General features: G+C 37.3%; 2 annotated features.

The window, feature by feature from the left end:
* Positions 9,887 to 10,388: an enhancer, noted in NCBI's record as "H3K27ac hESC enhancer chr2:165926349-165926850 (GRCh37/hg19 assembly coordinates)". NCBI's record gives its function as "activates a minimal SCP1, AML or CMV promoter by ChIP-STARR-seq in primed H9 embryonic stem cells {active_cell/tissue: H9 hESC(primed)}" and the evidence as "EXISTENCE:reporter gene assay evidence [ECO:0000049][PMID:30033119]".
* Positions 10,389 to 10,888: an enhancer, noted in NCBI's record as "H3K27ac hESC enhancer chr2:165926851-165927350 (GRCh37/hg19 assembly coordinates)". NCBI's record gives its function as "activates a minimal SCP1, AML or CMV promoter by ChIP-STARR-seq in primed H9 embryonic stem cells {active_cell/tissue: H9 hESC(primed)}" and the evidence as "EXISTENCE:reporter gene assay evidence [ECO:0000049][PMID:30033119]".

Consider the following 13,646-nt stretch of genomic DNA (forward strand, 5'->3'; position numbering starts at 1 on the left):
AGATGGATGTGACACCTGGGTCAGGTCCCAAATCATTAACTCTGATATGTATTGGTAGACTTGCAATGATGACTAGATCTTGTGTATGATGGCTTCTGCCCTCCTGGGACAACCCTCCCAAGAATACCCTTGTCATTATTTTTAAATATCCTAATTACCACTTTATTTATTAGTGTACTATCTGACAGTGTGATGCTAACAGAGCACAACTCAGCAGCCCTTTCTACTCTTTAATTTTACTATGAAGCCCCACAATCAAATGTGGAAGAAAAAAGTCCTGCTCCCTATGTGAATGACAGCAGAAATAATGAAATATCTTCCCCAAACTGACAAATGTAGGAGATAACTCATTTCAACTTCACTCTCCTAGACAAGTCACTTGTATCACTCTAGTTGGTAAATTTGAGTACTTCATCTCTACGTACAGAAAATTTGCATCTTTTCTTTCATAAAGAGTCACTGACAAAATGTTCAAAACTAAATTTGCAATTGGGTTATAAGTAATTAGGAACCTCTGTAGAATAAAAGTATATTGCTACCCTTAAAAGTATGCTTCAGTATATATTTTTTCTTTAAATGGTAGAGATGAGCCTGGGTTAGCAAGCAGCATCCCTCTAGGCTTGTTCAACACTTACTTCCAAGGCTAAACTCTTTGACTTCTTGCCAATTGGCAAGGACGTACCGGCCTCTACTGCAGAATTTCCTTTCAAGAAATAGAATTTAAATGGAAATATCATTTGTATATATTAGTAGTAACAGTAGTTGTAATTTTCAAATTTGCCTTTATTTAGGTAGTGAAAGATAACCACAGTTGTTCAAAAAAAGTCACCTTTTAAAAATATGTAAAAATGTTTTTAGAATACATAATCTTAACAGTCTCATCCATTATAATATCATCTTCTACTATTTGAAAAGTAGCTAATAGATCTTCTATTTAGATGCCAACCTTGTGATAGTCACAATTAGCCAGAAACCATCTGTAGGCATGCATCCCACTTCTGTTGTCATCTCACACTCTTGGACGGTTAAGTCTCTTACAAAGAGATCACTCACACTCAGGAAGTTGTTAGGATAACAGGGGTAATGAATTTGAGCAAATGAAAGCGTTCTCTTAGAAGATTGGGGCGGGGCACAGTGGCTTACGCCTGTTATCCCAGTACTTTGGGAGGCAGAGGCGGGTGGATCACCTGAAGTCAGGAATTGGAGACCAGCCTAGCCAATATGGTGAAACCCCATCTCTACTAAAAATACAAAAATTAGCCAGGCGTGGTGGCGGGCGCCTGTAACCCCAGCTATTTGGGAGGCTGAGGCAGGAGAATTGCTTGAACCAAGGAGGCAGAGGTTGCAGTGAGCAAAGGTCATGCCATTGCACTCCAGCCTGGGCAACAAGAGTGAAACTCCATTTAAAAAAAAAAGAAGAAGAAGGAGAAGAAGGAAAAGAAGGAGAAGAAGAAGGAGGAGGAGAAGGAGGAGGAAGAAGAAGAAGGAGAAGGAGAAGAAGAAGAAGAAGAAAAAGCAGAAGCAGAAGGAGAAGAAGAAGAAAAAGAAGAAGAAGTGTTCTACCTCTGGTTAGGTTTTGAAGGGAAGGGAAGCGTTAAAGAAACACACACACACACACACACACACACACACACACACACACACACACACAGAAAGAAGGCGGGTCAACAGCAAATGCAGGCTTTATGTGCACCATAAAACCTTCAGAAGAGGGGAACCAGCCTAATGCCAGAGCCCCCCATTGCTTGCAGGCTGGGGGTACTTACAGTTATGAGCAGGAGGGGTCTGGGCAGTATGGCTTGCTTTCTGGCAGGATATTGACAAAATGTTCCCATGATGAGGCGGTTCTGGCCCTTGTTCTGGTGGGTTCTCATCCTGGTGTTCTTTGGGCCTTTTTCCAGCAAGATATGATAGGGATGTTTCTTCAGTTGGGCTTTTGTCAGTCTTGTGGCCAGGTGGTTGGGGAGGATGTCTCTCATGGCCCAAACCCCCCTGAAATGTTTCACTTTGACCAAGCTCTGCAAAATAGCAGGGAGCTTACAAAATGGTGCAGTTTGGACTAATACTTCCGTAGCAGCTTGGGATGGACTCTTCTATCTTCTAAGAATATGGTTTTGTCTCCATTTAAAATATAACAGACCTTATATAACTTTATCTTCTGAGACTGGGTATTTGCAAACAACCTGGGAATAATTCTTGTTTGATTGGCATAGTAACCTCATGTATTCACTGTATACAGCAGGGTGAATCTGATTAAAACAAGTTGACCTAAATTGAAATTTAAGTCTCAATTTTAAAAGATCATTTAATCTTATTTTTCCCTTCAAAAATTGTATAATTAGTATTATCTTAATGTACATTCATTAAGATGTAGAGATAAAAGGCAGACATTCTTTTAGAAGGCATAAACTAGTGTTTCAAAGCATAATTTGTGTTACTTTGTACTTTTTTTTTTTTTTTTGATGGAGTCTCATTCTGTCACCCAGGCTGGAGTGCAGTGGCATGATCTTGGCTCACTGAAACCTCCACCTCCCGGGTTCAAGTGATTCTTCTGTCTCAGCCTCCTGAGTAGCTGGGACTATAGGGGTGCGCCATCACACCTGGCTAATTTTTGTATTTTTAGTAGAGACTGGGTTTCACCATATTGGCCAGGCTTGTCTCGAATTCCTGACCTCGTGATCCTCTGGCCTCGGCCTCCCAAAGTGCTGGGATTACAGGTGTGAGCCACCATGCCTGGCCACTTTGTATTTTTTCAAGTTAATTTTATAGTATTATGAGAAAGCTGAAAGATACAGTATAGTCTGTGATTAAAACTGTGAGCTCAGGAGTTACCTGGGTTAAAATACAGTACCTGTTCTGCCTGCTAGTAGTTACATGACCCCTGTTCATTTTCTAAACCTAAGCCTCAGTCTCCATATCTATGAAGTGGGGATAAAAACAGTGCCTCCTTCATAGAGTTGTTGTGAGAATTAGCTGACATAAGTCATACAAAACACCAAGTATATGGATTTTAAGCCTATAAATGTTTGCTATTTGTACTTAACAAAAATTAAAACACTAAGATATTTTGAGGTTGAAAATGTAATTTCTCTACTTAGCACAATTGTCAGGGATTGTTTTTCTTTCTTATATACTATAAAAATAATCACTGTCAGAACAGGAGGCATTTTATTATACAATTTAACTAAAATCATAAACTAAGTACCTTGAATATATTTCTGTATCAGCAAGTGGTGCATAATGATTCATCAAAATTAGCATGCATATTTGAATACATGTTCTGTGTGTATTATAGGAATTTTTGAAAATCAGAAACATAGAATAAACATGAAAAAATAGCGAAGTAACCATTGTGAACCTGTGATGCTAATAGCATCAATTTGTTTTACACCCCTACCCCAGCAGTCACCAGCCTTTTTGGCAACAGGGACTGGTTTCATGGAAGGCAGTTTTTTCCCAGACAATTTCAGGATGAAACTGTTCCACCTAGGATCATCAGATCATCAGGCACTGGATTCTCATAAGTAGCACACAACCTAGATCCCTTGCATGCACAGTTCACAATAGGGTTCATGCTTCTATGAGAATCTAATGCTGCTGCTGATGGGACAGGAGGTGGAGCTCAGGGGGTAATGCTTGCTTGCCTACCACTCACCTCCTGCTGTGTGGCCCGGTTCCTAACAGGTCACTGACTGGTATCAGTCTGTGGCCCAGGGGTTGGGGACCCCTGCTCTACACATAAATACCCTCACATACATGTGTATTTGTGTTTATGTATATAAACATAATGTAAAGATACTTATCATAAAATAATATTATTGTACATACTGTATTTTCTTACTGAACAATACATGCTGCCAGGAATTTATACTGTGAATATCCTGTAAAATAACATGACATATATATATATAAGATTAACATTGTAACATTGATAGTAGTCGGAGAAAGGTAGCTAATTATTCTAAGATTTTAAATGTCAAAAGGAGAGTTGAAAATAACCATTTAGCAAGCTGTCCTCAAATGTAAACCCATGCTAGCTTATCATTCTTGCCTTGGTTGGATTCAAGAGTAACTTTCTCTTCATTCATTTGGTCAGTTTGACAAATCATAAAATATTACCTACTCTTTGGCAGGGCTCTGTGCCAGTCCCTGCAGCCTTAGGTAGTCTATTCCCTGAGCACTCTGCACCTTTACGGCCTCATCACACAGCACTGACATTGCTTGTTTGCTTCTCTGTACTCTCTATTCATTCCCCATGAGGGCAGAGAGTGGGTATATTCTTGATTGGTATTTTTTCAGCATTTAGCACAATGCCAGGCACAGTCAGTGCTCAATAAATGTATGAACTGTGAATCTATGGATTATCTTGCCTGCATTTTGCTTTGACTTCTCCACTGTCTCTATTCATATACTTTATTTTTTAGTGCATGTGTTTAATTATTTCTTCTGTGTGTGCGTCAGCACTGCCTGACCCTAATTGGGTAAGACATTGTCTATTTCATCAATCTTTCCATAACCAGAACGGAATAGTCGGGTGTGATCAGGCCTTTAAACTCTGAATAAATTGTCTGAAATTAAATTATTTTAAGCTCAAGGGCAGAGATGATAGAATTTTCTTTTATATTATCTTACTCTTTTTGAATTTTTATATAAAAAGACATTCAATAAATATTAAGTAATATAAAATGTGACTTCACAGAAAATATTGACTAAAGATACCAGTGGAGTAGCTAATGTGTCTGATAGATTTTGAACTATTTATTTGAGACAGTCTCACTTTGTCACCCAAGCTGGAGGGCAGTGGTGCAATCACGGCTCACTGAAGTCTCGACCTCCCTGGGTTCAAGCAATCCTTCCACCTCAGCCTCTGGAGAGGCTGCGACTACTGGCACATGGCACCATGCCCACATAATTTTTGTATATCTTGTGCAGATGCAGTTTTGCCATGTTGCCCAGCCTGGTCTCAACACCTGGGCTCAAGCAATACACTCAACTCAGCTTTCTAAAGCTGGGATTACAGGTGTGAGTCACCATGCCCAGTGGTGTCTGATAGTTTTAAAGAAGCATTATACTAAACTGGGTTTAAATTTTAGCATGTTTTGACACCCACCAGACCTGAATTTGACTGTTAACTCTGTAGTTTTGAGCCTCAGTTTCTTCATTTTAAAATGGAGTTAATAAAACCTATCTCATTGAGGTCTTATAAGGGATAAATAGCATAAAATTTTATAAACACTAGGCATATAATATAGTGGTCTTTAATAATTGTTTTATTATTTTATTTCTGACCAACTTACAGTCATCATCAAGATAAAATAGGAGATTCCTTACACTTGTACAGTATGCCTGCATGTTTATTGGCTTATTTTCTTACAAAAACAATATTTTGTTAAATAATATAAAAGCCTCTGGGTCTTTATAATTCTGGACAAGTAGAAGTGCATGCAATAAACTAAGTTCATATTGCAGCTTCCAGAGATGAAGAAATTTGAAAATTGGACCAGAGCATCAGGAGAATATAACTCTGCATGTATACTGCTTTCAGTTGGCTGGTCACAAAAAAGTTTAGTTCCACAATGAATTGTAGAAAGTAGTGTTTAAGTTCAGGAGAGTTGGCCACTTTAAACTGAAATGCAGAGTGCACCGTTTTATTGTATAGGAAATGTCTGCTTCTATTATATGCTTTTCAAAGCACAGTGTTTTAAGCTGAAAATGAAATATTTTAAAATACATTTTTATTTTTATAAAAAGCAATATTGAAATTATGTTATTCAGAGTGGAGTCTAGAGTTGGGAAGGAATTGCCCTGAATTCTGTTTCTTGAACTCTATCACTACATCTCCATGCAAATGAGGGAATTATAGCTAAAAATAATTTTGTCCATAGCATACACAAAAAATGTAGCCTCATTCCAGTGTTCCGATTTCCATGGCATTCTCTGATTTAGAATTACTTAAAATAGTATCTGAGAGTGTTAAGTTCTACCATTTTATTCCCCATATGAGAACTACAAATTAGGAAATAATTGAATATTTGAAGCTGGATTAATTTCTTGGAGTAAAATTTGAAAATGAGAGAGGGAAAAATTGCACCTATAAGTTTGCATGTATGTATGTGTGTGTACAATTATTTCCCTCTCTCATTTTCAAATTTTACTCCAAGAAGTTTATATATATGTATTTCAGATTTGGGGGAGGCCAAATTTATTCCCTTCAGTCACAGACATAACTATACCATTACAGCCTTTCGCTGGAGCAATTCTGGCCAACAAAGGTTACTGCGGCTCACAGAAAGTCCAAATGTCTCTTTGCAGGCCTCAGACCCAGAATTTGAGCCTGGAAGGTGGAAGCCAAGTATTCCTGGCTCCTTTTACCAAAACCCCTATCAGAGACATCACTTCCCCTCCCCTGAGAAGACTAAGAAGATGAAGAGAGAAAGATTCTTTCCATAGTGTTCTCTCCGGGAAACTGGGTTGGAAATATCCTCTATGAAAACATGAAGAGAGAGAGAGAGGGAGAGTGTGTGTGTGTGTGTGTGTGTGTATGTGTGTGTGTGTGTGTGTGCTACTGCCTGTTACTATTCTGTAATTTTTTTTTTTTTTACTAACTGTGTGTGTGTATGTGGGAGGGTGTATACATACACACATATTTTCTCTTTAATGTCTATATATACAATGATTTGTCTTATATGTATACACACCCACATACACACTCCTTGTGAGAGAAAAAGAGAAAGACTAGAGAAAACAGAAAAAGGAAGGGAGAGAGAGAATAAAAAGCTTAAAGGTAAAAAGAGTAATCATAGAGTCCAATGTGATGGAAACCAGTGTAAAAGAACATCAGCTAATGTACTGATGATAAATTGTCTTCATTCCTATTTATCTTTGGTATTTTATTGCTAGGATTAACCATACTCTTATGTTACCAAAGTCGTAAATAACTTATTGTTTCATAACATCAATTTTTAGAATGTTAGGTATTCCCTAAGAGTACATATTGCCTTTTCACATAGCTTAAGATCCATTTTTATGTAACATTTATTCATTTCTGGTTTGCAATCCATGTTTTCTCAGAAAGAATTGGGATGACATTATGTTATAAATTCCTTTATTTATATGCTTAACTGTGGTCTCAGAAAGTAGGGGAATAAATGTCTTCTGTGAATACATACCTGTTTTGGTATTTAAAGGGCAAAAATTTCATCTATATTTATCCATCATCTATTTTTTAAAAAAACATTGGTAACTTTAGTGTTGTATATAGTTTATGTTTACTGAATGAAATTCAAATGGCATTTTTGTATAAGGACTTAAAAATATATCCTTGAGTGTGATTATGTTAATTTTCTTTTGGAATTTTTTAAGGGTGGTAGCCCACAGTAATTAAATAATAAAAGGAGTTTAGATGCAAATTTACTATTTGATTAATTATACAAACCTTTTGCATTTACATACTCCTTTTCTTGTTTTCATTCTCTGCTGAAGGATACAAGATGTCAACATAAATCGAAGATGTCACCACAGATTTTCTAGACAAAGTAGCTGTGCTTTGAATTTAATAAGACTACACAATAAAGGAAGAAATATTATTTATACTCATCCAGACAAAATATTATATATAGAATAGTGTTAAATATATCTGGCTCGCATTTTCACTTTTAATTACTTTCCAAATTCTAATTGAATTAATTTGTTCTCTTTTATACTATAAATGGGGCATATTTATAAATAGGAAATGTTCTCTGTAAGCACCAATAGATTACCTATTTCTATTTGTGTTTGTCTTAGTCATTCTTAATTTTAAGAAATCTGATAGCTGGGTCTTATCTTTCTGTACACATTACTGGCATTTAATGACTGAAAGATTCCAGTAACTACAGTACATAACTACCTTAAGGAATTCAACAAGCATTCTTGTAATAATGTTGTTTATTCTTATTACTAATATTTGTTATATCAAAAGATTGAATTATATTGGAGGAGTAGTAGCTTTGCTTTTATTGGCTCTTGAAAGAAATAAATGGCTTTTCTGTAAACAGCTATTTGATCCACTTAAATGTTAGCTAAGTACATCGGTGACTGAAGAGTTTCCTTATTGTCTCCAATAACATTATGTTGGGGTTTGTGTGTGGCGGAGAGCGTGCATGGGGCTGTTTGTATTTTTACATTTTCTCTTTTTCAGTGCACTAGGTCATTGCTTGGTGTCCACTGCCTGCAGCAGAAGGGCTCACCATTGTGTTTCGGTGCTCGCTCCCAACCAGCCCTGCTGTTTCGGCTCCAAGCAGAGAGGAGGAGGCCCTGCCTGTCTCCATGACAACCGTGTGTCCTCCGGGAAGCTGCTCAGAGCTAAAAACCTTCTGAGAGGCGGGGGAGGGGCCGTTTCTGAGCAAAATCTCACCTCGTTTCTCCTCTTTCCAGCGCAATTTGCTAAATTGTGTCTCTTTTATTATGTTTTTATTTAAGACTGTTACTCAAAAGCCACACACCCCAAACCTTATTTCATGAACACAAAAGCCACATCACAAGGATTTTTCTAGCATCTGGCACATAATTTCACACACCCCTCCCCCCTTTGTGTTAACTTTAACTTTGTCTCTAGTTCTCCAGTTCCTTGGAAAGATTTAAATATTAATGAACATTCAAAAGCCAAACACTCCCTTAGCCTGGCAATATTGTTAGCATACATTATAAATATTTGAAAGGAAACAGTTTTTCCTTTGCTTTTTGCTTAAACAAATTTACAAGCATAGTTTAAAATTGTAGCATTAAAAATATTTTACCATTAGACAACATTAGATGTATGTCATATATATTATTAAAAAATTAAATTTACCAAGTTAATTCACTAGGGGGTGAGCAATTGATTTATAATTGTCACAAATTCTTAACAATATTTCACACATATACATACTTTTGAAAAATAATCTCTGCTCCTATAGCCACCCAATGGGTTCATTTTGCTTGCTGCAGAGAGAAAGCTGAGTTTTCCAGACAGGGGAATAGCAATAGAGAAAGGGTTTACTGCAAGTCGAGCTGGCTAAATGGGAGGCAGGAGTTTTATTATTACTCAAATCAGTTTCCCCTACAATTCTGAGGGTAGGGTTTTTTAAGGATAGTTTGGCAGGCAGAGGCCAGGGAATGGGAGAGCTCATTGGTTGGGTCCGAGATGAAATCATAGAGAGTTTAAGCTGTCCTCTTGCACTGAGTGTGTTCCTGGGCAGGGGCCACAAGAACAGATGAACCAGTTTACCATTCTGGGTGGCATCAGCTGATCCACTGGAATGCAGGGTCTGAAAAATACCTCAAACCTCTTAGGTTTTACAATAGTGATGTTACCCCTAGGAGAAGTTGGGGAGGTTAGGAAGCTGATGGCCTCTGGTTGCATGACTCCCAAGCCATAATTTACAATCTTGTGGCTAATTTGTTAGTTTTACAAAGGCAGACTGGTCCCCAGGCAAGGAGGGGGCTTGTTTCCGGTAGCAGCTGTCATCATCTTTGTTTCAAAGTTAAACAGTAAATTCCTCCTAAAGTTAGTTCAGTCTAAGCCCAGGAATGAACAAAAGTAGCTTAGAGGTTAGATGGGAAATGGAAGCCAGGCACAGTGGCTCATGCCTGTAATCCCAGCACAGTGGCTCATGCCTGTAATCCCAGCACTTTGGGAGGCCGAGGTAGGTGGATAACCTGAGGTCAGGAATTCGAGGCCAGCCTGGCCAACATGGTGAAACCTCGTCTGTACTGAAAATACAAAAATTAGCCAGGTGTGATGGAGGGTGCCTGTAGTCCCAGCTACTCAGGAAGCTGAGGCCGGAGAATCGCTTGATCCCGGGAGGCGGAGTTTGCAGTGAGCTGAGATTGTGCCACTGTACTCTAGCCTGGGTGACAGAGCCAGATTTCGTCTCAGAGAAAAAAAAAAAAAAAAAAGCGAAATGGAGTTGGTTAGGTCAGATTTTTTTCACTGTCATTGTCATAATTTTTGCAAAGGTGGTTTCACTCCCAGAAAATACGTATTTTTTATTTTGACCTGTGGCTATACCAGGTAGCAGTAGTGGGCTGGAGCAATTACTTTTGCTCTGTTCTCTATAATTTCTCTCATGGCAGTTTCTTTCAATCTTGTGGCTTCAGATAGCTCCTTGAATTAAATGAATATCAATTTATTTCAAAGGTGTCTTGAGAGCTTCCCTAGCCTAGTGTAGTGGCTTTGTGCAGAGTGAGCTTACATAAAGTGGAACTACATTTCCCAGAATTCCGTTTCTGGTCTGGCTTTGTCTTGGCCTTGTCCGCAGGCTGAATGGAAGCAGCCGCCGTATTTTTTTACCTTGTGAGGGTGGCTCATGGCCCCAGGCAACATGCTAAATTGCCTCTGTTGCTGCAGAGACCGCAGTGCAGCCTTTTGACTTCTTAGCTCCTTCACCTTCTCTGAGTCCTGGCCCAGGCCACTGTGCAGCTCCACGCTGCCGGGGTTCGGCTTCTTCTGCTGGTGACCCACCCTCTGTATCTTCTCTTTTGGCGTCTCTGAATCCTGGGCAGTTGCATGTGCAGGAGAAACTCGACTACATTTAAAGGAGAAACGGACAAATCTACACTTATATAGGAGTTTTTAACATACTTTTCTCATTATTAGAATAAGCAGACAAAAACTCAGTAAATACAGAGATGATTAAACATTAAATATGTAGATCACTGTGCCTCACAATTCCCAAGCAGACATTCTTTTCAAATACATACAGAACATTTACTAAAAAAGACTATCTGCCATCTGTAAAGTAAGTCCTAACAAGATTTTAAAGACATGAAATTAAACAGGGTATATTCTTTGCTGCAATGGAATGCTGCAATGGAATTAAACTAGAAGTTAATGACAAATTTACTAAAATATCCTTATGGATCTTGAGTTGAAAGTGGCAACTCACGAATGACAAGGTTCATAGATTTGGAAAGGAGAGCTTTATTTCTCATAAAGGGTTGGAGCCTGCAGGGTGGCTATTCTGACAAGCTGGAAAGGATAGCCTCTGGCCAGAGCCAAAAACAGACACTTAGAGGGAGGGACAAAGGGAAAAGGAGTTTATGCTAAGCAGAGTGGCCAAATATACATATTTAATAAGTTATAGAAAGAGTCATGAGAGGAGTACCTGGAACCCATGTAGGAGCATGAAGCTCAATTGCACATGTCCATGGTTCTTCTATGAGAAGAACATGTGCAATTGAGAAGAGAACCATGGTCGTGTGTAATTGAGCTTCATGCTCCTTCATGGATCCCAGATACCAAAAAACAGCTGTGTTAGTATCATCCAAAGTGGAGATTTTAGCCCTCTGACACCCAAGTTGAGGCAGAAGATGTGAAAACCCTTCCTGTACATCATCAGTAGACTGACCTGACCCCTCCATGGTTGGTGGTCTCATATTAAGAAGAAATCCTGGCTAGTTATGCTGAAACCACAAAAAGGAGTGGGAAGCATCAGGTGGTTGGTTGATAACAATGGTGGGGTCTTTTGAAAGGGCTGGTTTCTGTTTAGCCGTTTGGGAAGAAAGCCTCATTGTGGTTATCCAGGGAGAGGGTATCACGAGGCATGTCTGACCTCCTTTCCTGCCATGGCTGATAACTCAGTTTTCAAGATTTCTCTAGGGTCCCAAGTCTTCTCTCTTGGGAGCTTAGAATTTCATTTTTTATTTCTCAAAACCAAAGATGTACATTTTTTTTTCTTGAAACAGGGTCTTACTCTGTCGCCCAGGCTGGAATGTAGTAGGAAAATCATTGCTCATTGCAGCCCTGAACTTCTGAATTCAAGTGGTCCTCCTGTCTCAGCCTCCTGAGTATCTGGTACTACAGATGCATGCTACTATGTGCCTGGCCAATTTAAAAAAAAAAAAAGTAGAGACAGGAGCTTGCTGCGTTGCGCAGGCTGGTCTCGAACTCCTGGCCTCAAGAAATCCTGTGATTATTCCCTCCTGCTTCAGCCTCTCACAGTGCTGGGATTATAGGCATGAGCCACTGTGCGCAGCCTACAAGGATACACATTTTAAAACAATCGATAAGTCAAAGAAGAAGTTGCAATTAAATCAAATATTTGGAAAGAATGAGAATATGAAATACTGCATGTAAAACTTGTGAGATGCGGCTAAAACAGTGTTCTGAGAGAAATTTGTGTTCATAAATGCATACATTAGAGGCTATAAACGTGATCTAAGTTTCTATATCAGAGATTACATTAAAAAAACTACAAACCCAAAGCAAATAGAAAGGAGAAAGAAATAAACGAGCAAAATTTAATGAACTGGAAAAACAAATATGCAATAGAGAAACTCAACAAAGCTGAAAGTTGATTCTTTTGAAAAAAAGAAACATGTATAAAATCGATAAACTCCTCTCAAGACTAATCAAAACACAAGGAAAATGAGGAACAAATAACTATATTGAAGGGAAAAAGCTTGGATAATCACACTTCCTATAGGGAGTGATAAGACGATAAGGAGACATTATGATCAAGCTTATGTCAATAAATTTATAAATTTAAATAATATGGACATATTTTCAGAAAAACACAACTAAATCCATAAAGAAATAGATAGTCTGAATAGTACTATAACTATATAAAAAATTGAATCTGTAATTTAACACATTTCCACATACAAAATGCCAGACTTAGATGGCTGCACTAATGAATTTAAAGGAATATTTATGAAAGCAATAACATTAATCTTGCAAAACTTTTTCAAAAAAATAGAAAAAGAAAATATTTCTCATCTTGTTTTTGAGACTGTTGTAATAATGGTACCCAAATTTTATTTGGTTATTGCAAAAATTAAAGGGAAATTATAAAACATAGATGTATATTCTTAAATAAAATATTAGCAAACACATTGAGTTATTAAAAAAAAGCACAATCAAATTGGATTTAAAAAGAAAATGCAAATTGGCTTATTTAAAAATTAATTTCTATAATTTACCACATTATAGTTTAAAGGAGAACAATCTTATGGTCATTTTGATAAAGAAAAAAATTAAAATTTAATCTCCATTCACATAAAAAATCTTGCCTATACTGTAATAATTCTTGCTTGGTATAAAGTTAGCAAACATCATAAAATTAAGTTTTTTAATCTGAAAAAAGTATCTAGCCAAAACTGTAGTAAACATTATAATTAAAAGCAAAATATTGAAAGTTTTTTCTGAATTCGGAAATGAGACCCTCACCACTTCTATCCAACATTATACTAGAGGTGGTAGTCAGTAAAATGAAGGTAGAAACAGAACTAACGTGGATTAGAAGAGAAAAAACAAAACTGTAATTAAAAAAATATTAAAAATCCAAACAAAGAAATCTCAAATGATTTAGAAATAAATTTATACAGTATATGAGAGAGATGAACAAGTTTCTAGATTCCTGGTCAATATAAACAAATGTATTTTTATATACTGGCAACAAACAAAAATGAAATGTAAAAAAATACCTTTGATAAAGAATTAAAAACATCAAATTATTAATAATCTAATTAATGAAGTATAAGACTCCTATATATAATAAAACCTCACTAAGAGAGATGAATGAAGACTTGAGTAAATGGAAAGACATGTTATGGATTGGAAACCTAATAATCTCAATTATCACCAAATTGATGTATTGGTTCAGTGCACTCCTGATCAAGACTCC

The sequence above is a fragment of the Homo sapiens genome, chromosome 2, assembly GCF_000001405.40.
Source record: "Homo sapiens chromosome 2, GRCh38.p14 Primary Assembly".
NCBI lineage: Eukaryota > Metazoa > Chordata > Mammalia > Primates > Hominidae > Homo > Homo sapiens.